Source organism: Homo sapiens, chromosome 15 (assembly GCF_000001405.40).
Source record: "Homo sapiens chromosome 15, GRCh38.p14 Primary Assembly".
Lineage (NCBI taxonomy): Eukaryota > Metazoa > Chordata > Mammalia > Primates > Hominidae > Homo > Homo sapiens.
Genome location: NC_000015.10, coordinates 44,676,247 through 44,700,300, shown reverse-complemented (window position 1 = coordinate 44,700,300; position 24,054 = coordinate 44,676,247). Strand labels below are relative to the sequence as shown.

The 24,054-nt window shown below is 41.7% G+C and overlaps 1 protein-coding gene across 17 annotated transcripts in view; it reads left to right on the top strand.

Moving 5' to 3' along the window:
- Positions 1–24,054, top strand: part of PATL2 (PAT1 homolog 2) — a 45,659-nt gene that overhangs the window by 11,090 nt on the left and 10,515 nt on the right. For 9 of the 17 annotated variants that reach the window (NM_001387260.1, NM_001387261.1, XM_011521339.4 and 6 more), the window contains one exon: positions 23,736–23,826. In NM_001387260.1, coding sequence (NP_001374189.1) covers positions 23,811–23,826 — 16 coding nt within the window. In that variant the 5' untranslated portion in view covers positions 23,736–23,810. Of the gene's footprint in view, positions 1–22,437; positions 23,575–23,735; positions 23,827–24,054 lie in introns of those variants that run through there. The other 8 variants (NM_001330283.2, NM_001145112.2, XM_011521341.2 and 5 more) reach the window with 6 other exon arrangements.

The window sequence follows — 24,054 nt, the reverse complement described above, 5'->3', positions numbered from 1 at the left end:
AATAAAAAGAAAATCAACGTACAGTCATTTATTTTACAAATAATATTAAATTTAAATACCTAATATTAAATACCTTCTTAACCAAGAAGTAAAAGATCTCTACGATGATAACTATAAAACACTGATGAAAGAAATTGAAGAGGACACAAAAAAATGGAAAGATATTCCATGTTCATGGATTGGGAGACTCAATATGTTAAAATATCTATACTACCTAAAGCAATCTACAGATTCAATGTAAACCCTATCAAAATACCAATTACATTCTTCACAGAAATGGAAAAAAAATCCTAAAATTTATATGGAACCACAAAAGGCCCAGAACAGCCAAAACTATCTTGAGCAAAAAGAACAAAACTGAAGAATCACATTACCTGACTTCAAATTATACTACAAAGCTGCAGTAACCAAAAGAGCATGATACTGGCATAAAAACAGACACATAAACCAATGAAACAGAATAGAGAACCCAGAAACAAATCCATACATCTACAGTAAACTTATTTTCAACAAAGTTGTCAAAAACCTACATTGGAGAAAGGACACTCTCTTCAATAAATGGTGCTGGGAAAACTGGATATCCATATGCAGAAGAATGAAACTAGACCACTATCTCTCACCATATACAAAAATCAAATAAAAATGGAATAAAGACTTAAATCTGGCTGGGCATGGTGGCTCACACCTGTAATCCTGGCACTTTGGGAGGCCAAGGTGGGTGGATCTCTTGACCAGGAGTTTGAGACCAGCCTGGCCAACATGGTAAAACCCTGTCTCTACTAAAAATACAAAAAATTAGCTGGGCATGTTGATGCACACCTGTAATCCCAGCTACTCAAGAGACTGCGGCATGGGAATCACTTTAAGCTAGGAGGTGGAGGTTGTAGTGAGCTGAGACCACTGCACTCTAGCCTGGGTGACACAGTGAGACCCTGTCTCATAAAGAAAATAAAAAGACTTAAATCTAAGACCTCAAGCTATGAAACTGCTAAAAGAAAACATTGTGGAAACTCTCCAGGACATTAGACTGGGCAAAAATTTCTTGAGTAATACCCTTAAAGGCTTCTGCACAGCAAAAGAAACAATCAACAAAGAGAAGAGATAGCCTACAGAATGGGAGGAAATATTTACAAACAAATCCATCTCACAAGTATTAATAATAAAAATATAAAATGAGCTCAAACAACTCTATAGGAAAAAAATCTACTAATCCAATTTTAAAAATGGGCAAAAGATCTGAATAGGCATTTCTCAAAAGAAGACATACAAATGGCAAACGGGTATCTGAGAAGGTGCTCACCATCATTGATCATCAGACAAATGCAAATCAAAACTACAATGAGATATCAGCTCACCCTCATTAAAATGGCTTTTATCCAAAGGACAGACAATAATGAATGCTGGTGAGGATGTGAAGAAAAGGGGAACCTTCATACACTGTTGGTGGGAATGGAAATTAGTATAGCCACTAGGGAGAACAGCTTGGAGGTTCCTCAAAAAACTAAAAATACAGCAATCATATGATCCAGCAATCCTACTCCTGGGTATATACGCAAAAGAAAGAAAATCAGTATATCAAAGAGATATCTGCATTTTCATGTTTATTGCAGCACTATTCAAAATAGTCAAGATTTGGAAGCAACCTAAGTGTCCATCAACAGATGAATGAAGAAAATGTGGTACACATACACAATGGAGTGTGTTTGGCCATAATAAAGGGTGAATTAAAGGGTGAATTCTTGTCATTTGCAGCAATATGGATGGAACTGGAGGTCATTATGTTAAGTAAGCCAGGCATAGAAAGACAAACTTTGTGTGTTCTTCTCTGTGGGAGCTAAAAATTACAGCAACTGAATTCATGGAAATAGAGAGTAGAATAATGGTTATCAGAGGCTGGGAAGAGTAGTCGGGGGAGGGAGAAGGAGAAATGGTTAATGGATACAAAAATATAATTAGAATGAATAAGATCTGGTATTTGATAGCACAACAGGGTGACTAGTGTCAACAGTTTATTGTATAGTAAAAATAACTAAAATAGTATAATTGGATTATTTGTAACACAAAGAAAGGATAAATGCTTGGGGTAAGGGATACACCATTTTCCCTGATGTGATTATTATACCTGTATCAAAATATCTCATACACTTCATATATATATATACACACACACCCATTATGTACCCATGAAAATTAAAAATAAAATTAAAATTAAAAAAATTTAAAGACAGAAAATAAAAATAAAAAAATTAAACAAAATGACCAAGCCAGGCATGGTGGTATGCACCTGTAGTCCCAGCTACTTAGGAGGCTGAAGCAGAAGGATCACTTGAGCCCATGAGTTCGTGACCAGCCTGGGCAACATAGCAAGAGCCCCATCTCAATTTTTTAAAATAATAATAAAAAAAAAGTGGGAAAGCTGCTGACCCAAACTACACAACAACCTAGAAGGTAGGTGTTATTTCCTTTACAGATAAGGAGACCGAGATGCAGAGAGGTAAGATACTTCCCATGATTTCACTGAGCTGGGATTCAAATCTTGGTCTAGTGGATTCCAAAGGCCTCAATCTTTCCGCTAGAAAATAACTCTTGGCACTTTCCGAGAAGGGATCCATAAGAAGTAATTGGGAGGCTTTGGAGACCAGGGCAAGAATAGAAGCAAATGAGAAGGTGAGGGGGATGTAGCTACAGAGCAACCAGCACCAAGATATGAAGCAAATGAGAAGGTGAGGGGAACTAGATACACAGGAGCCAGCAACAAGATGTGTAATATTATTTTTTTAACTGACATTTACTTTTTTCTGTTTATAAAAGTAATATATGCACATGATGGAAAATTGGAACATACTAAAAACTATAAAGAAGAAAATTAAGGTTGGTTCAAGTACAGTGGTGTTTACAACTAATTCATCACAGTCACAGATTTCTTTGTTCCTTCTCCACTTCCACTGCTTCACTTGATTGGTCAAAAAGGAGAAGAAGGAAGAAGAAGGAGGGAAAAGAAGGAGGAAGAAGAAAGAAGAAGAAGGAAGAAGAATGAGCAGGAGCAAGAAGAAGAAACAAGAAAAGGGAGGAGGAAGAGGAAAAGGAAGAAGGAGGAAGAGGAGAAGAAAAAGAAAGGAGGAGGAGAAGGAGGAGGAGGAAGGGGAAGAGGAAGAGGGAGGAGGAGGAGAAGAAACAGGAGGATGAGAAGGAGGAGGAGGAGATAGTTAAAACCATTGTTAAATGGTATAATTTAAGGAGTTTGAAGATTGCTACCTGCTCCAAAGTACCTCTTGGTTAAATCTGTTTTGGAACTCAAAATCCTCAATCTTATGTGTTAATTCTATTAAATTCAGCAAATTTTGGTTAAGTGCAGGCTTTGCGGCAAATGTAAGTACTTCTAAGGAATTAAAAGCAGAAGACGCCAGACCCTGCCCACCAGGAGATTCCAATCTGTAATTAAAATCAGCCCAATAATTAATTTATGAGCAGCTACCTAAGATGTTCAGCCTGACTGACTTTTCAGATTTGAGAGCTGTTACATAATGGGCAACAGGCCCCCAAAAAAATAGAACACAAAGAGGGAGATTTTTTTTTTAATTGGCAGTTACCAAGTCAGACACCATACCTTGGAGGGGGAAAAAAAATCTCCCAGGATCCATATGAGGCGAGTACTATTATCTTTATTTGGGGGAGAATGAAAGGAAAGACAAAAGTTGGGAATTAAAGTATCCAGTAGGCAGAGAACCTGTCCCACAGGCTTGTGTGTAACCATTGCAGTCTATCAGATGCCAAATTTGTTTTTACTGGGAAAATTATATAAGCTTGATGTAAAAAAAATCAAGTAGTACAGAAATATAAAAATCCTAATTTCTCCCAAATCCTCTCCCAGTAATAACCATAATTTTAAATGTATTATTCATCCTTAATTATAAGCCTATTAAAAGCATAAAAGGAATCAGAGGTAGCATCACCTGTCAGCTTGAATGCAGAAATGGATTAGGTAAATGTTGAAGCCAAAATCTCTTAATTGTGTGGGAGTAGTAGGACAGACCCAGAATTTTCCCTGGGGAAGATTATACCCAGTTACTAAATTACTGGCACAGCTTCCTTTAGGGATGTTTTCCCTTGTAGGTATAGTACTTCGCTCTTCATCTCAGTTCCTACTTAAAACTGCAGAATTCTAACCTGGATATTTTCTATCTTGCCTTGGATTCCGTGCAGCACTATTAAAAAATCAACATTCTCCTCCAAATATTCTTTTTCCCTTTTGACAAATGCTTCTCAGCCATAGCTTCCCACTTTCCAGCTTGTGGAGCTGACACTTGCCTCTGACCAGTTAGTGTGGGGTCCTTTCTGGCTGCCCCCTGACACTGTTAGACCTGCTTCCAATCAGGTGCTCTCTATTCTCTGGTGGTTTGGATCTTTCTGAACTCTTCCCCTAAAACAACTGTGAGGAAACCAGGAAGAATTATTTGGTAAAGAATCAGAAGTTTAAAACAAAATAAACAGCACAAAATGGTGAGAGATGTGTCCACAGATCCATCATAGACACAGAAGGACCAGGTATGTCCACAGGAGTAAACAGAACTTGGTGGGCTTGTGACTGTTTTTGTTTTGAGTTTAGGAGTGGAGGCTTAATAGGCAAAAGAAAGAGAAAGGAAAACAGCTGTCTCTGTAGTGACAGAGAGGGAACTTCTGAGGAAAAGGCCAGCCGGCAGCCGGTGCCCTGGATTTTATACTCAGGCTTTAGGAGGCAGTGTCTGATTTATGTAGGGCTCACAGATTGGTTCCATCAGGTATGACATTTACAGAGGTGAGGGGAAGGCTGGCCATCCCACCCTAATCTTATTATGCAAATGAACTTTCCCCTTGGCCAGCGCCATCTTGTCTGCCCCTTACTGTAAAAGTGGCTGACAAAGAAAAGGGAAGATGGAGCTGCCATCTTGAACATGATTGGCTCAACTGCAGGCATCTGTGTCTGCAGCTCAATTTTGCAGGCTGCTCTTTGTTAGAAAGGAAAATAATTTGGGGCTGCTTTTCATTAAAAGAAAAACTTCTGTACCCTAATTAATTTCTTAACTCCTGTATCATTCCCCCCTCTGGAGTGGTAACCCTAACTGCTTTTTTTTTTTTGAGGGAGTCTCGCTCTGTCGCCAGGCTGGAGTGCAATGGTGCAATCTTCGGCTCACTGCAACCTCCACCTCCCGGGTTCAAGTGATTCTTCTGCCTCAGCTTCCTGAGTAGCTGGGACTACAGGCACGTGCCACCACGCCCAGCTAATTTTTTTGTATTTTTAGTAGAGACCGGGTTTCACCATGTTGGCCAGGATGGTGTCCCTAACTGCTTTTAGGGGGTGGTGGACGATGACTCTTTCTGGCTACTTCATGCTGAAAAGGGGTGTTGTGTGGGTAACAGCAGCTAAGGCTCCTCCTGGGGTTGATCTAAGGGTCCTCGGAAGAAAGGCATGTCCATGTGTGGTTCTGTCTGCAGCACCATTTGGAGTTTGATTGGTGTCAGCCATTCCAATGGGTCGTAACAGTGGTTTGCCTCCACCAGATGTTGCCATCCCTTTTTGTTTCTTCAAGTTGCAGATCATCACTTGATTCATAGGAATAAGCAGGGTTAGTCTAAAATGTAGGCAAAAGCTTGTAAGTTTCCTTGACTCATTTCGATGAATGCTGTACTTTGGTATCCTGGATGAGGTCCTCAGTAAGAAGTGGCTATGTTGACTGGGGTAAATACCCAGGGTTTGTCGTCTCATGCCAGGAAAATGTAGGAGACAGACACACACACAAGGAGTTTAGGAGCGGAAGTTTAAGAGGCAAAAGAAAGAGAAAGGAAAACAGCTCTCTCTAGTGAGAGAGAGGGGACTTCTGAAAGGAAAAAGCTGTGACTGCTTTTATTTCATGATTTCTTATCATCATTACTATTATTGTTTTAACTGTGGATCAACTTGCCACAAATGAGTTTGCTAAAAGACAATTTATCATATGTCAAATTAGCCAAAAATCTATTTATCTAATGACCACTGACAGCAAAACCTGAGGTGGGACTGCCCCTCTGCTCATCCAACATTCTGCAAGTGTGAGTGGGGGAGGTGGGTTCCACCATCTATCCCCGGAAGCCAGGCCATGACAGGCAGGAGGTGGCTCAGTCAGTACATAACTCAGAGTTTAGTAGGGGGAAGGGAAGGTTCCACAAAATTGGGATTATTTTATATGTATATTCATTGAATTTGCTTATCTTAATGTAATAAAATATTGATATTTTCCATGTCACTTGATACAGAACTGGCTTCTAATTATTGACATTTTTAGGCTGGGTGTGGTGGATCATGCCTGTAATCCCAGCACCATGGGAGGATGAGGCTGGCAGATCACCTGAGGTCAGGAGTTTGAGACCAGACTGGCCAACGTGGAGAAACCCTGTCTCTACTAAAAATACAAAAAAAATTACCCGGGCATGGTGGCACATGCCTGTAATCCCACCTAATTGGGAGGCTGAGGCAGGAAAACCGCTTGAAGTGCGATTGAAGTGAGCCAAGGTTGCAGTGAGCCAAGATCACGCCATTGCACTCCAACCTGGGAGACAGAGCGAGACTCTGTCTCAAAAAAAAAAAAACAGAAAAAGAAAACATTTTTTGGACTTTTCTCTATATCATGCCTTGTGGTAGGCAGAATAATGCCCCAGAACCTGCAGAAACATTACTTTACATGGTATAAGGGATTTTGCAGATGTAATTAAAGTTAAGGACCTTTTACAAAGGAGATTATCAGGAATTATTTGGGTACGCCCAGTGTAATCACAGGGGTCCTTTAAAGCAGAGAACTTTTCCTGATGGTAGTCAGAGGGAGATGTGACTGCAGAAGAATGGTCAGAGATGCCACAAGCTGGCTTTGAAGATGAAGGAACAGGCCATGAATCAAGGGATGCAGGTGGCCTCTAGAAGGTGGAAAAGCCAAAGACATGGGTTCTCCCATAGAGTCTCCAGAAAGGAGTGCTTCTCGGCTGCCACCTTGATTTTTAGCCCCATCATATTTGTGTTAGACTTCTGAGCTACAGAAATACAAGATGATAAACTGTTTTCTTAAGCCACCAAGTTTTTGGAAATTCGTTACAGCAGCAATAGAAAATTAGTTCTTCCCCTTTTTCCAGAATCATGGACATTTTGGCCTTGGTTTCCAGGAGCTTAGTTCAGTATAAATATTTGCCTTTTCCAAGTCAAGTTTACCTCTTGGTTAACTAGGCTCTGGCTACACAGAGCATTCTGAGCACACTCATGTTGGAGGCAGGTTATCATCAGCTCCATAGCTGAGGAAGGTAGGAGTTTTGCCAAAGCCTGGCTTGGTCAGGAGCCCTGGTCTTCCCCTCCTATCACTGCCACAAACTGAGCTGAGTTAGCCCCAGTGATGTGGGCCCAGCACATCACATGAGAATCACAGGCCAGAGTCCTGGCAGTGCTGCCATTTCTGAGCCATTTCTCAGATGTCACGCTCCAAATGGGCCAGACCACTCCTGCTCTACCTGCTGTTGCCAGTGTTGAAGAGGAACAAGAGTAAGAGGAGGGGCCTCCAGCCCCCAAGACAAAGATATCCCAAAGTTTTGGTTTTCTTCTTCTTAGCCTGGCCTAAATGCCTCTACAACCTGGCCCCAACCTATCCATCTGATCTCAGTGTTCACCACAGTCGTTCAAGGATTCTTTACTGAGTGCCTGCTAGCTCCTCGGCACTGGGGAAAGTTCCTCCTCTGGTGAGCTCATAGGCTCTGGTTATAGGCAATATATAGATTATGATACCAGGAAATTAGCCCCATCAGGAGGAGCCTGCAGAAGACTTAGTGTCAAGGTAAAGAATATGAACTTTATCCTTTAGACTGTGATGCAGGTACCAACAGAGCTGGTTTTTTTGTTGTTGTTGTCGTTGGTTTTTGTCTTTGGGGTATTTTTTGTTTGCTATTTTACAAACCTTATCCACATAGCTTTATTTTTTCTAATTATAAAATTCATGGCCATTATGAAAACTTCAGACAATAGGTAAGGATAAAGATAAACATTTAAATTACCTGTTATTCTATAAACCAAAGATAACCACTGCTAATCCATTGTTTATTCTTTCTCTATTTATATACAGATATGAATATGAATATATATGTTTACAAAGATGCAATCATTGTGCAGAGATTTCTCTGCAAACTGCTTTTTATTTAACCGTTTATCATGGACAGTGTATCTATTTCTATAATAATAGAGATCTATATTGTTTTTTCATGTGTTCACAGTATTTCATTGTATAAAACATGCCATACATTTTTACCTAATCCTGTATTGAAGATGTTCGCAGTTTTTCCCTATTATAATTCAGGCTACACACTGTGAAACTGCCTCCAGAGTCTTTGTACCAGGTTATCCTCCCTCTATAAAATAAGGACGATATTTATCTCCCCACACTCTTCCCCTAGCTGGTCATTATCATCAATTGTATCTCCTTGTTTTACTTTGTATCTTATTTATTTATCTATTTATTTGAGACAGAGTCTCTTTATGTTGCCTAGGCTGGCCTTTTCTTAGCCTCCTGAGCAGATGGTACTACAGGTGTGTGCCACCGTGCCCAGGTTTACTTTATATTATTTTTAAATTTAATTTAATTTTTTTTTTTTTTTGAGACAGAGTCTCACTCTGTGGCTCAGGCTGGAGTGCAGTGGTGCTGTGATCTCAACTCACTGCAACCTCCACCTCCTGAGTTCAAGCAATTCTTGTGCCTCAGCCTCCCAAGTAGCTGGGATTACAGGAACATGCCACCACACTCAGATAACTGTTGTATTTTTAGTAGAGACGGGTTTTTGCTATGTTGGTGAGGCTGGTCTCGAACTCCTGACCTCAAGTGATCCGCCTGCCTTGGCCTCCCAAAGTACTGGGATTACAGGCATGAGCCACCATGCCTGGCCACAATCTGTTTTAAAAGTTTCTCCTGCCTAGAAGTTTCTCTGTAAGCGTAGCAGTTATAGATTAATCACAGAAAATCTTTTTATGTTATGTTATAAATCATTGGACAATTACCTATTATGGATTGAACATAGGTTTGGTAGACAAAATCTCAACTTTTCTCTGTCTATATGTGCACCTTTCCTGTAATGTAAATAGAGGCATGGTTTTGAAAAACAATAACATTTTTGAGTTTTTTATAACCAAATATATTTTAACATAAAATATCAGTTAAAAAAAGTAGTTTTATACACTTAGCCTATATTCCCCAAAGCTCATATTTTTATAATTAATTAAAATATAAATTTAAATTATTATTTAAATTAGGACAGTTTTTCTATTTGAAAAAGTAAAAAGCATGGTCAAAGATTTCTCAGTCTCCATAAGGACACAGACATTCTGTGTTAACAGACATTCACACTTAACTAAAGTAAAGAATTTTCAAAGTAAATGTCAGAGAAAATAGCAAACTTATTTTTATGTTATCTGTCAACAGCATTATGTTAATTTTGACATGGTTACTGATTGGATAATATATGATAACAAGCAGTTGTGAAGAAGCTATTGCTAAAAAGATCTGAGCTTAACATAAATATCTCTTTTTCTGAACTCTTAACATCTTCAGAAACAACAAAAATAATTTTTACCCATAAGTTTTTTTAAATGACTTTCAAAGGTAAATTTAAGATTACCAGATAAAAATAAAGGCATGGTGGCTCAGGACTGTAATCCCAGCACTTTGGGAGGCCAAGGTGGGAGGATCACTTGAGCCCAGGAGTTCAAGAGCAGACTAGACAACATTGTGAGATGCTGTTTATACCAAAAAAAAAAAAAAAGCCAGGCATGGTTGCGTGTGCCTGTGGTCCCAGCTACTCAGGAAGCTGAGGTGGGAGGATCACTTGAGCCCAGGAGGTGGAGGCTGCAGTGAGCTGTGACTGTGCCATTGCCCTCCAGCCTTGGCAACACAGTGAGACCCAGTCTCAAAAAAAAAAAAAAAATATTTTGACTTTATTTGTGGTTTTATATTTGCCACTCAGCAATCTTAAATTTTTTTGTAGACAAATTTGTCAGCCACCCTTCATAGCCTATGGATTTGGGGTGATAGTTAGAAGGTCCGTCTTTACATTTAGAAAACACTCACTTTTTTTTGAGACGGAGTTTCGCTCTTGTTGCCCAGGCTGGAGTGCAATGGCGCTATCTCAGCTCATGGCAACCTCCGCCTCCCATGTTCAAGCGATTCTCCTGCCTCAGCCTCCCGAGTAGCTGGGATTACAGGCATGTGCCACCATGCCTGGCTAATTTTGTATTTTTAGTAGAGATGGGGTTTCTCCATGTTGGTCAGGCTAGTCTCGAACTCCTGACCTCAGGTGATCCGCCCACCTCGGCCTCCCAAAGTGCTGGGATTACAGGTGTGAGACACCATGCTTGGCCAACATTCATATATTTTCTTTTAGTATTTTTGAGATTTTCTTCTTATTATTATACTTTAAGTTCTGGGGTACATGTGCAGAACATGCAGGTTTGTTACATAGGTATACATGTGCCATGGTGGTTTGCTGCACCCATCAACCAGTCATCTACATTAGGTATTTCTCCTAATGGTATCCCTCCCCTAGTCCCCCACCCCACAACAGGCCCTGGTGTGTGATGTTCCCCTCCCTGTGTCCATGTGTTCTCATTGTTCAACTCCCACTTATGAGTGAGAGCATGCAGTATTTGGTTTTCTGTTCTTGTGTTAGTTTGCTGAGAATGGTGGTTTCCAGCTTCATCCATGTCCCTGCAAAGGACATGAACTCATCCTTTTTCATGGCTGCATAGTATTCCATGGTGTATATGTGCCACATGTTCGTTATCCAGGCTATCATTAATGGGCATTTGGGTTGGTTCCAAGTCTTTGCTGTTGTGAACGGTGCTGCAGTAAACATAGCTGTGCATGTGTCTTTATAGCAGCATGATTTATAATCCTTTGGGTATGTACCCAGTAATTGGATTGTTGGGTCAAATGGTATTTCTGGTTCTAGATCCTTAAGGAATCACCACACTGTCTTCCACAATGGTTGAACTAATTTACACTTCCACCAACAGTGTAAAAGCATTCTTATTTCTCCACATCCTCCCAGCATCTGTTGTTTCCTGACTTTTTAATGATCACCATTCTAACTGGCATGAGTTGGTATCTCTTTGTGGTTTTGATTTGCATTTCTCTAATGACCAATGTTGATGAGCTTTTTTTCATATGTTTGTTGGCTGCATAAATGTCTTCTTTTGAGAAGTGTTTGTTCATATCCTTTGCCCACTTTTTGATGGGGTTGTTTGCTTTTTTCTTGTACATTTGTTTAAGTTCTTTGTAGATTCTGGATATTAGCCCTTTGTCAGATGGATAGATTGCAAACATTTTCTCCCATTCTGTAGGTTGCCCATTCACTCTGATGACAGTTTCTTTTGCTGTGCAGAAGCTCTTTAGTTTAATTAGATACCACTTGTCAATTTTGGCTTTTGTTGCCATTGCTTTTATTGTTTTAGTCATGAAGTCTTTGCCCACTCCTATGTCCTGAATGGTATTGCCTAGGTTTTCTTCTGGGGTTTTTATGGTTTTCAATCTTACATTTAAGTCTTTAATCCATCTTGAGTTAATTTTTGTATAAAGTGTAAGGAAGGGGTCCAGTTTCAGTTTTCTGCATATGGATAGCCAGTCTTCCCAACACCATTCATTAAATAGGGAATCCTTTCCCCCACTGCTTGTTTTTGTCAGGTTTGTGAAAGATCAGATGGTTGTAGATGTGTGGTGTTATTTCTGAGGCCTCTGTTCAGTTCCATTGGTCGATATATCTGTTTTGATACCAGTGCCATGCTGTTCTGGTTACTGTAGCCTTGTAGTATAGTTTGAAGTCAGGTAGCATGGTGCCTCCAGCTTTGTTTGTTTGTTTGTTTGTTTTTGCTTAGGATTGTCTTGGCTATGCGGGCTCTTTTTTGGTTCCATATGAAATTTAAAGTAGTTTTTTCTAATTCTGTGAAGAAAGTAAATGGTAGCTTGATGGGGATAGCATTTTTTTTATTATTATTATTATTTAGCTAGTTTTTTTTTTTTTTTTTGAGACAGAGTCTCGCTCTGTCACCCAGGCTGGAGTGCAGTGGCATGATCTTGGCTCACTGCAAGCTCTGCCTCCCGGGTTCACGCCATTCGCCTGCCTCAGCCTCCCAAGTAGCTGGGGCTGCAGGCACCCGCCACCACACCTGGCTAATTTTTTGTATTTTTAGTAGAGATGGTTTTCACTGTGTTAGCCAGGATGGTCTCAATCTCCTGACCTCGTGATCTGCCTGCCTTGGCCTCCTAAAGTGCTGGGATAGCAGAGAATCTATAAATTACTTTGGCCATTTTCACGATATTGATTCTTCCTATCCATGAGCATGGAATGATTTTCCACTTCTTTGTGTCCTCTCTTATTTCCTTGAGGAGTGGTTTGTAGTTCTCCTTGAAGAGGTCCTTCACATGACTTGTAAGTTGGATTCCTAGGTACTTAATTCTCTTTGTAGCAATTGTGACTGGGAGTTCACTCGTGATTTTGCTCTCTGTCTATTATTGGTGTATAGGAATGCTTGTGATTTTTGCACATTGATTTTGTAGCCTGAGACTGCTGAAATTGCTTATCAGCTTAAGGAGATTTTGGGCTGAGACTATGGGGTTTTCTAAATATACAATCATGTCATCTGCAAGCAGAGACAATTTGACTTCCTCTCTTCCTATTTGAATACCCTTTATTTCTTTCTTTTGCCTGATTGCCCTGGCCAGAACTTCCAATACTATGTTGAATAGGAGTGGTGAGAGAAGGCATCCTTTTCTTGTGCTGGTTTTCAAAGGGAATGCTTCCAGTTTTTGCCCATTCAGTATGATATTGGCTGTGTGTTTGTCATAAATAGCTCTTATTATTTTGAGATACGTTCCATCAATACCTAGTTTATTGAGAGTTTTTAGCATGAAAGGGTGTTGAATTTTGTTGAAGGCCTTTTCTGCATCTATTGAGATAATCACGTGGTTTTTGTCATTGGTTCTATTTATGTGATGGATTACGTTAATCGATTTGTGTATGTTGAACCAGCCTTGCATCCCAGGGATGAAGCTGACTTGATCATGGTGGATAAGCTTTTTGATGTGCTGCTGGATTTGGTTTGCCAGTATTTTATTGAGGACTTTCACATCAATGTTCATCAGGGATATTGACCTTTGAAATTTTCTTTTTTTGTTGTGTCTCTGCCAGGTTTTGGTATCAGGATGATGCTGGCCTCATCAAATGAGTTAGGGAGGATTACCTCTTTTTCTATTGTTTGGAATAGTTTCAGAAGGAATGGTACCAGCTCCTCATTGTACCTCTGGTAGAATTCAGCTGTGAGTCCATCTGGTCCTGGACTTTTTTGATTAGTAGGCTATTAATTACTGCCTCAATTTCAGAACTTGTTATTGGTCTATTCAGGGATTCAACTTCTTCCTGGTTTAGTCTCGGGAGGGTGTATGTGTCCAGGAATTTATCCATTTCTTCTAGATTTTCTAGTTTATTTGCATAGAGGTTTTTATAGTATTCTCTGATGCTAGTTTGTATTTCTGTGGGATCAGTGGTGATATCCCCTTTATCATTTTTTATTGTGTCTATTTTATTCTTCTCTCTTTTCTTCTTTATTAGTATGGCTAGTTGTCTATTTTATTGATCTTTTCAAAAAAACAGCTGCTGGATTCACTGATTTTTTGAAGGGTTTTTCATGTCTCTGTCTCCTTCAGTTCAGCTCTGATCTTAGTTATTTCTTGTCTTCTGCTAGCTTTTGAATTTGTTTGCTCTTATTTCTCTAGTTCTTTTAATTGTGATGTTAAGGTGTCAATTTTAGATCTTTCCTACTTCCTCTTGTGGGCATTTAGTTCTATAACTTTCCCTTTAAACACTGCTTTAAATGTGGCCCAGAGATGCTGGTACGTTGTGTCTTTGTTCTCATTGGTTTCAAAGAACTTATTTATTTCTGCCTTAATATTGTTATTTACCCAGTAGTCATTCAGGAGCAGGTTGTTCAGTTTCCATGTAGTTTTGCAGTTTTGAGTGAGTTTCTTAATCCTGAGTTCTAATTTGATTGCACTGTGGTCTGAGAGACTGTTTTTTATGATTTCCGTTCTTTTGCATTTGCTGAGGAGTGTTTTACTTCCAATTATGTGGTCAATTTTAGAACAAGTGCGATGTGGTGCTGAGAAGAATGTATATGCTGTTGATTTGGGGTGGAGAGTTCTGTAGATGTCTATTAGGTCCACTTGGTCCAGAGCTGAGTTCAAGTCCTGAATATCCTTGTTAATTTTCTGTCTCGTTGATCTGTCTAATATTGACAGTGGGGTGTTAAAGTCTCCCACTATTATTGTGTGGGAGTCTAAGTCTCTTTGTAGGTCTCTAAGAACTTGCTTTATGAATCTGGGTGCTCCTGTATTGGGTGCATATATATTTAGGATAGTTAGCTCTTCTTGCTGCATTGATCCCTTTACCATTATGTAATGCCCTTCTTTGTCTCTTTTGATCTTTGTTGGTTTAAAGTCTGTTTTATCTGGGACTAGGATTGCAACCCCTGCTTTATTTGCTTTCCATTTCCTTGGTAAATATTCCTCCATCCCTTTATTTTGAACCTATGTGTGTCTTTGCACATGAGATGGGTCTCCTGAATACAGCACACTGATGGGTCTTGATTTTTTTCTTTTTTTTTTTTTGAGACAGAGTCTCACTCTGTTGCCCAGGCTGGAATGCAAAGGCGCAATCTCAGCTCACTGCAACCTCTGCCTCCTGGGTTCAAGCAATTCTCCTGCCTCAGCCTCCCAAGTAGCTGGGATTACAGGTGTGTGCCACCAGGCCCAGCTAATTTTTTGTATTTTTAATAGAGATGGGGTTTCACCATGTTGGCCAGGATGGTCTCAATCTCTTGACCTCGTGATCCACCCGCCTTGGCCTCCCAAAGTGATGGGATTACAGGCGTGAGCCACCGTGCCTGGCAGGGTCTTGACTTTTTATCCAGTTTGCCAGTCTGTGTCTTTTAATTGGGGCATTTAGCCTGTTTACATTTAAGGTTAATATTGTTATGTGTGAATTTGATCCTGTCATTATGATGCTAGCCGGTTATTTTGCCCGTTAGTTGACACAGTTTCTTCATAGTGTTGATGGTCTTTACAATTTGGTATGTTTTTGCAATGGCTGGTATCGGTTGTTCCTTTCCATGTTTAGTGCTTCCTTCAGGAGCTCTTGTAAGGCAGGCCTGTTGGTGACAAAATCTCTCAGCATTTGCTTGTCTGTAAAGGATTTTATTTCTCCTTCACTTATGAAGCTTAGTTTGGCTGGATATGAAATTCTGGGTTGAAAATTCTTTCCTTGAAGAATGTTAAATATTGGTCCCAACTCTCTTCTGGATTGTAGGGTTTCTGCAGAGAGATCCACTGTTAGTCTGATGGACTTACCTTTCTGGGTAACCCAACCTTTCTCTCTGGCTGCTCTTAACATTTTTTCCTTCATTTCAACCTTGGTGGATCTGATGATTATGTGTCTTGGGGTTGCTCTTCTCGAGGAATATCTTCGTGGTGTTCTCCATATTTCCTGAATTTGAATGTTGGCCTGTCTTGCTAGGTTGGGGAAGTTCTCCTGGATAATATCCTGAAGAGTGTTTTCCAGCTTGTTTCCATTCTCCCCATCACTTTCGGGTACACCAATCAAATGTAGATTTGGTCTTTTCCACATAGTGCCATATTTCTCAGAGGCTTTGTTCATTACTTTTCATTTTTTTTTTCTAATCTTGTCGTCTTGCTTTATTTCATTAAGCTGATCTTCAATCGCCGGTATTCCTTCTTCTGCTTGATCAATTCAGCTATTAATACTTGTGAATGCTTCACAAAGTTCTTGTGCTGTGTTTTTCAGCTCTATCAGGTCATTTATGTTCTTCTCTAAACTAGTTATTCTAGTTAGCAATTCCTCCAACCTTTTTTCAAGCTTCTTAGCTTCCTTGCATTGGGTTAGAACATGCTCCTTTAGCTTGGAGCAGTTTGTTATTACCCACCTTCTGAAGCCTCTTCTGTCAATTCATCAAACTCATTCTCTGTCCACTTTTGTTCCCTTGCTGGAAGGAGTTGTGATCCTTTGGAGGAGAAGGGATGTTCTGGTTTTTAGAATTTTCAGCCTTTTTGTGCTGGTTTTTCCTCATCTTCATGGATTTATCTACCTTTGGTCTTTGATGTTGGTAACCTTCGGATGGGGTTTCTGTGTGGATTTTTTTTTTTTTTATGTTGATGCTATTCCTTTCTGTTTGTTAGTTTTCCTTCTAACAGTCAGGCCCCTCTGCTGCAGGTCTGTTGGAGTTTGCTGGAGGTCCACTCCAGACCCTGTTTTCCTGGGTATCACCAGCGGAGACTGCAGAACGGCAAAGATTGCTGCTTGTTCCTTCCTCTGGAATTTTTGTCCCAGAGGGGCACCCACAAGATGCCAGCCGGAGCTCTCCTGTATGAAGTGTCTGTCGACCCCTGCTGGGAGGTGTCTCCCAGTCAGGAGGCATGGGGGTCAGGGACACACTTGAGGAGGCAGTCTGTCCCTCAGCAGAGCTTGAGCACTATGCTGGGAGATCCGCTGCTCTCTTCAGAGTCAGCAGGCAGGAATGTTTAAGTCTGCTGAAGCTGTGCCCACAGCTGCCCCTTCTACCAGGTGCTCTGTCTGTCCCAGGGAGATGGGAGTTTTATCTATAAGCCCCTGACTGGGGCTACTGCCTTTCTTTCAGAGATACCCTGCCCAGAGAGGAGGAATCTAGAGAGGCAGTCTGGCTACAGCAGCTTTGCGGAGCTGCAGTGGACTCCACCCAGTTTGAACTTCCTGGTGGCTTTGTTTACACTGTGAGGTGAAAACCACCTACTCAAGCCTCAGTAATGGCAAACGCCCCTCCCCCCACCAAGCTCAAGTGTCCCAGCTTGACTTCAGACTGCTGTGCTGGCAGTGAGAATTTCAAGCCAGTGCATCTCAGCTTGCTGGGCTCTGTGGGGGTGGGATCCACTGAGCTAGACCACTTGGCTCCCTGGCTTCAGCACCCTTTCCAGAGGAGTGAATGGTTCTGTCTCGCTGGCATGCCAGACGCCACTGGGGTATGAAAAAAAAAACTGCAGCTAGCTCAGTGTCTGCCCAAACAGCTGCCCAGTTTTGTGCTTGAAACCCAAGGCCCTGGTGGCATAGGCACCTGAGGGAATCTCCTGTTCTGTGGGTTGTGAAGAGGATGGGAAAAGCGTAGTATCTGGGTCAGAGTGCACCGTCCCTCAAGGCACAGTCCCTCACAGTCCCTTGGCTAGGAGAGGGAGTTCCCCAACCCCTTGCACTTCCCGGGTAAGGCAATGCCCCACCCTGCTTTGGCTCACCCTCCGTGGGCTGCACCCACTGTCTAACCAGTCCCAGTGAGATGAGCTGGGTACCTCAGTTGGAAATGCAGAAATCACCCACTTTCTGTGTTGATCTCTCTTGGAGCTACAGACCAGAGCTATTCCTATTTGGCCATCTTGCCAGCCACCGTTTTGAGATTTTTTTTATGTTTAAATCTTTGCTCCATCTAGCATTTACTTTGGCATAAATATGTCTTCAATATAGAAGTTTAACTTTCTTTAGTGAAATCTACGTATCTTTTCTTTTATGATTTCTGGCTTAGATATTCTGGTTTGTTTCTTGGAATGAAATTTCTTGGGAAGAACGTGAGGAGTGAGCTGGAGTAGGACACACCCAGGTGGCTGGCAAGAAACCCCTCTGAAGAAGTCTCTCTCTCAGGGAAAGGTCCATAATTTTCCATTCCAGTTCAGCTCAGTCAACATCTACTAAGAACCTACTCTGTTCCAGAGACTGTGTTAAGTGCCAGGGGCACAGAGATGAGGAACATCTCTGCTTGCAAGTGGGAGTGACAAATTTAGAAACAGAATGACGACACAGTGTGGTAGGTGCAATGAGCAAAAAGCATAAGGATCAGTGAGCACACATAAGGGTGCCTATCCCAGGCTGGAAGGGAAAAGCCTATCTGAGAAGGCCTCCTGGAGGAGATGAATCCTGGGCCGAGTTTGTTTTTCCCATTTGAATAACTAGAATATTAGAATAAGACCATTCAATAAAGACAATTCTGAAATCACCTTCCAATTAAAACAACTCTTACTTTGTAACTTCATGTTGCTTATATGACATAATGCACAGCATATTACCTGCTAAGATACACACTTTCAATATCATTGGAAAGACAGAACTGGAACAGAAAGCTGCCTTAATCAACAACAGAATATAGCTCCCAGACCAAGGGCGAGAGGTCTCCAGTGTAGGGACAACCTGGTGCACAGCGATTACGAGAGAAGGCTAAAGTGGAACCCTAATTTCTCCATGCAGCTAAAAGCAGTTTACTATTTCTGAAACTCAATCTAGAAGGTAGGGAACTTTAAGATAGGAGACTGGTTGCTTTCTATGACAGTCAGGGCCAGATTGTAAAGGGGCTTATGCTTTATGTAAAGAATGGGACATGAGAAACACTGAGGTGTTGTAAGTTGAGGGGTGTCTGATCTGACAAAACAACTTGGAAATCATCAGCATGAGATGAGATTGCCCAGGGATATCAGGTTGCAGAGGATTTAACCTTTGCAGATCCTTGATCCCTTTGAGGATGTGATAAAAGCTACAGATGCTCTTTCCAGAAAAACAAACATACTGAAAACCACACCAACATATACACAATTTCAGGGGATCCTCAGATTAAGAATATTTGATATATAGAGGACTGAGAAGTAGCCTGAGGAAGCGGATATTCAAAGGATGGGAAGAAGATGAGGGGAGCAGGAAAAGGGCCAAAGAAAAATGACCCAAGAGGTACTGGAAGAGCCAGGAGACAAGTGTTGGGAAGCTGTGGGAGCACAGAGATCCAAGGAGGATGTGATCAGCAGTGTTGAATGCTGTAGAGATGTCAGCTAAGGTCAGGACTGAAACATGTCTTTTGCACTTACAGTTAAGAAATCACAGCCGAGAGAAGTGGCTCACATCTGTAATCCCAGCACTTTGGGAGGCCAAGGTGGGAGGACGACTTGAGCCCAGGAGTTTGAGACCAGTCTGGGCAAAAAAGCGAGACGCCATCTCTATAAAAATTTTAAAAATTAGCTGGGTGTGGTGGTGTATGCCGTAGTCCCAGCTACTTGGAAGGTTGAGGCAGGAGTCCAGAAGTTCAAGTTTGCAGTGAGCTATAATCGTGCCACTGCACTCCAGTCTGGGTGAAAGAGCGAGACCCCATCTCTAAAACTAAAAAGAAAGAAAGAAAAATCACTGGTAATGGTATTGAGAAAAGTCTCTGCGGAGTAACTAGTAATGTTAGCTCCAGATATACTTTTTCAAGCCCGAGAATTATATAGGTGGCATCTAGGTGGAAGTAAGGGTAGGGGACTTGTCTTGACCCTGCATTTGCAGAGAACTAATACGTCAAATAATTGTCAATTGTCCAGAAAAAGTGTTGAAGGGGCTTATGGAGATTATGTCTGTTTGTCCCTGTTGCCACCACTATAATGGAGTCAAAAGCCAGAAAGCAACAGTTGAAGGAATGATGTGAGGAAATGGAGAAGTTTGGTTTGTTAGGTAGGAGAGACCTGAAGGGCAGTTAAAATAAGAAACAAAAACAAGACAGGGATTTGTCTCCAAGAAGTGGACACATCCTGATATTTCTATCCTATACACTAAGAAAAAGAAAGGGGAAAACAGAGAGGCTCAAGACACAGAGAAAAGTGGCTGAAGGGCCAAGCATCCAGGAAGAGAGTCTGGACTTGAAGAGGAGGAGAGCCCCCCACCTGGAAGTGCAAGGTGGGGGGCCTGTGGCTGTGTATAATTTCCTCCAAGTATGAATTGAAGTGGATCAGCCCCAATGGCCTCTATTTTCCCCATAACATAAGAGGTGAGGTTGACTGCTGAGAGTAGAGATGGGAGTTGTATGGAAGACTGGAGGAGGACAATGCCTATTTTTTAGAATCACTGATGAGGGATGTATGGGAAAGGCAGCTAAACAAGGACAAATTAAAGAACAGCTCAGCAGGCTGGTGATGGAGCAGTGTCAGTCATGGTCCCGACAAGAAGCAGATGGCACATTCAAGTGGTGTAACTGAGGAGCATGTCAGGAAGAGAATATTCACCAAGGTGTGAACAGGGTGAAGGGAAACTCATAAAGGCCAGTGAAGCACCCTGGAACTAGCAAGAGTGGGGAGCCTTTCCCACCCCCAGACCTCAGGGGCAAGAGGAGGGAGCAGATCCCAGATCCAGAGGGAATTGGGGTAATTTAGGAGAGGGCTGCCACACTGGAACTCATACAGCACAGATGCTGACATTATCTGAAGCCAGGCAGCCCTCTCTGTCTCCAGGTTCTGGTGACTGCTCCATCCTCTTGTCCCAGTCCCAGGGGATTCTGCTATTACTTGTGGTTTCACTATACTCTTTCTATACTTTTATAAATATAACTTTATTAGATTATCCAGTTTGAATACACCATCTATTTCCTGAAGGAAACCTGACATACATGGTTCTTTAAAAAGACTAATAAAATAGACAAACTCTAGAAAGAAGAACAAAGGAGGAGATGAATAATATTAGGAATAAAAAGGGAGACAAAGGGCCGGACGCAGTGGCTCACGCCTGTAATCCTAGCACTCTGGAGGCCGAGGCAGGTGGATCACTTGAAGCCAGGAGTTTGAGACCAGCCTGGCCAACATGGCAAAAGCCTATCTCTACTAAAAAAAAAAAAAAAAAAAAGAAAAAGAAAAAGAAAAAAAAAATTGGCCAGGCACGGTGGCTCACGCCTGTAATCCCAGCACTTTGGGAGGCCGAGGTAAGTGGATTAGCTGAGGTCAGGAGTTCAAGACCAGACTGGCCAACATGGTGAAACCCCTTCTATACTAAAAATACAAAAATTAGCCGGGCATGGCACACCCCTGTAATCCCAGCTATTCAGGAGGCTGAGGCAGGACAATTGCTTGATCCCAGGAGGCAGAGGTTGCAGTGAGCCGAGATGGTGCCACTGCACTCCAGCCTGGCTGACAGAGCAAGACTCTGTCTCAAAAAAAAAAAAAAATTAATTGGCCAGGCATGGTGGTGTGCACCTGTATTCTCAGCTACTCTGGAGGCTGAGGCAGGAGAATTGCTTGAACACAGGAGGTGGAGGTTGCAGTGAGTTGAGATCGTGCCAATGCACTCCAGCCTGAGTGACAGGCAAGACTCTGTCTCAAAATAAACAAGTAAATGAAAGGGGGCAGGAGAGACAAAGTACAGTTATAGCATGGATTTTTAAATACACTTATACTATGAACAACTTTATGCCAACAAATTTGAAAATTTATAAGTAATGGACAAATTCCTAGAAGATATATAACTTAAAACTCAAGAAGAAATTGAAAGCCAGACTAGATCTACTGCTATTAAAGAACCTGAAACAATGGATAAAAAATCTCCCCATAAAAGAGTGTTTTATGTAGCAAATGTAAATATTTCTAATGTCATTTTTTTTCTTTAAGAAAAAATTTTTAATAGAGATGGGGTCTCACTATGTTGTCCAGGCTTGTCTTGAACTCATGGGCTCAAGCTATCCTCCTGCCTCAGCTTCCCAAAGTGCTGGGATTACAGGTATGAGCCACTCTAATGTCTTTTTAAAATCTGACCCAACAATCCTGTGTACCTGTGTGTACTTCTTATTCTAGAAGAAGCTCTAACAGGCTGTGGGAAGCATCTGCTTTATTCACTGTTTACCCCAAGCCTAACATAGGCTTGGCTTGAACTTAACATAATGAAATGATGGCAGGAAAGTTAGAACATCTAGGGGATCAGTAGACATATGAGACTTCAGATAAGGGTAGGGGACCTTCATAAAAAACAGTAGGTCCCAAGTGAAACTCCAAACAGCCAGGGCAGGGCTGTGATCTTTAAGACTGAGCCCTAGTCCACCTGCTTTGGTACTAGTCAGTACCAGAAGTCCCTTCAGAATGAAAATCTTCATGCAACAAGTTTCTCCTTAAGATCTAGTCTCTACAACAACCTAATGAATCACCTCTGGAACACTGAAATTCACCATGTGGTCCTTTTGTTAATAGTGCTAAAGTACGTTATTAGGAAGTTCCTGAGAGAAACAGCTGAATAACATTACCAAAAAGGCCAGAACCCAGCTGGGTGTGGTGGCTTGTGCTTGTAATCCCAGCCCTTTGGGAGGCCAAGGCAGGTGGATTACTTGAGGTCAGGAGTTTGAGACAAGCCTGGCCAACATGGCGAAACCCTGTTTCTACTGAAAAAAAATATATATATATACAAAAATTAGCTGGGCATGGTGGTGGCCGCCTGTAATCCCAGCTACTCGGGAGGCTGAGGCAGGAGAATCTTGAACCCGGGAGGTGGAGGCTGCAGTGGGCCAAGATCATGCCACTGCACTCAAGCCTGGGTGACAGAGTAAGATGCTATCTCAAGATATATGAGAAGTTTTTCAGTAACTTTCAAGCTACTTATATTTGTTCCCCCACCCATATAGTTATGACCTGCAGTAAAACTTCTGAAACAAATATTTTCCTTTAAAGGCACCAAGAATCATGGTCTTATCACCATGACAAGAGGGTCCTAACTTTCATTTTTGATGTAGGGAAATTAACTTAGTTTTTATTCTTATTCAGAAGTTCTACAAAGTCATGTGGGTTTCAGCTGAACACAGGATGTGGGCACAGAACCCAGGGTTGCTTGAGGGTTAGATGAGACTTGGGAGGGTGTTGGGTTTTGCCTACCAGGAGCAGCTATGTTTTTGTTTTTGTTGTTGTTGATTTGTTTTTACTCCTGAGCTTCTGGACCAGTTTGCCATTAGAGCAGCCAAGAAGATGTAAGACTGTGTATCTCATGCAAAAGTGTTTTTACCATGAAGATCTGACTTCCAAATTCACAGGGGTCTCTCATCAGTCAGAGCTGAGTAGCTGACTTAAGCTCACATGACCCGGTGAAGGGCAAGCATCATCAGGTGGACTTGAGGGCTTCAAGTACGCTGCCCTGAAGCGCCAGGAATGTGGTTGCTAGGCATCCTCCCCAGGATCTACCCAGGACTTTCCTATCCAATTTTGTTGAAGCAAAACCTAGGGATTAAATTAAATGCAACCTCACAAACTACCAATGAAGGGTGTGGAAAACAGGGATCCTCTTTTTAACTATCTGCCCCCAAATATCAATCCCAATAAACTGTACTAAAAGCCATGGATGGCTAAAAATGCAGTTTATGTCTTTTCTCCATTCAAGCGTTTTTTTAATCATTAAACTATGTTCTCATATTTCCATCAGGCCCCAATGGATGGAGGATGCTAGCCCTTTAATGGGTGAGCAGGGGAGGAGCTGGGACTTTTAAAGCCAGGAGCGGCAAACAGGTCCTGGCCCAGGCTGCTATGAATAACTTAAACAGAAAGGACAGCAACAGTCAGGTGGTGGGTGTCGGCAGCAAGGCATCACCACACTCGGACGGTGACTGGTGATGTCGGTTGGGAAGTACTTCTCTTCCTGCTTCTAGCCTGTGCCTCATTTCTGTCCCTTTGTGGGACAGCTCCCTAGAGCCGAGCTGGGAGGGTGGGTGTTTATGGCAGTCTGAGACCCCAGGGTCTCTCTCCTCAAGACCATGGCCAAGAATTCTCTAACCATCTTGCTGGGAGGATTCCATGGCTGTTTTAGGGTGCCATGTCATCCTTACTGACTGAGGATGGTGCCTCTTGGCCTCTTTCTTGTCTCAGGTTTACCTTCCAGAGGCTGGCAATGCTGTTTCACTGGAGGACACGGCTAAGAAGGAAGTCCACCAGCCTGCCAAGATGAATTGCCTTGAAGGTATCAACAAGTGGGCCGTGATGTTATATAAAATGCCCCAGCATGCAGAGGTTGCTGGTCTGTTTCACATATGGGATTGGATGTCCAGAGTCACTGGAAGTTATTCCAAATTCTTCCACTTGCTAATTATATCATAATGGGTGACTGAAAGGTCACTCTTCTGGGCTTTATTTTTCTCACCAACCTAGTAAAATTATCAACAACAACCCAGGACAGCCTCATATTACT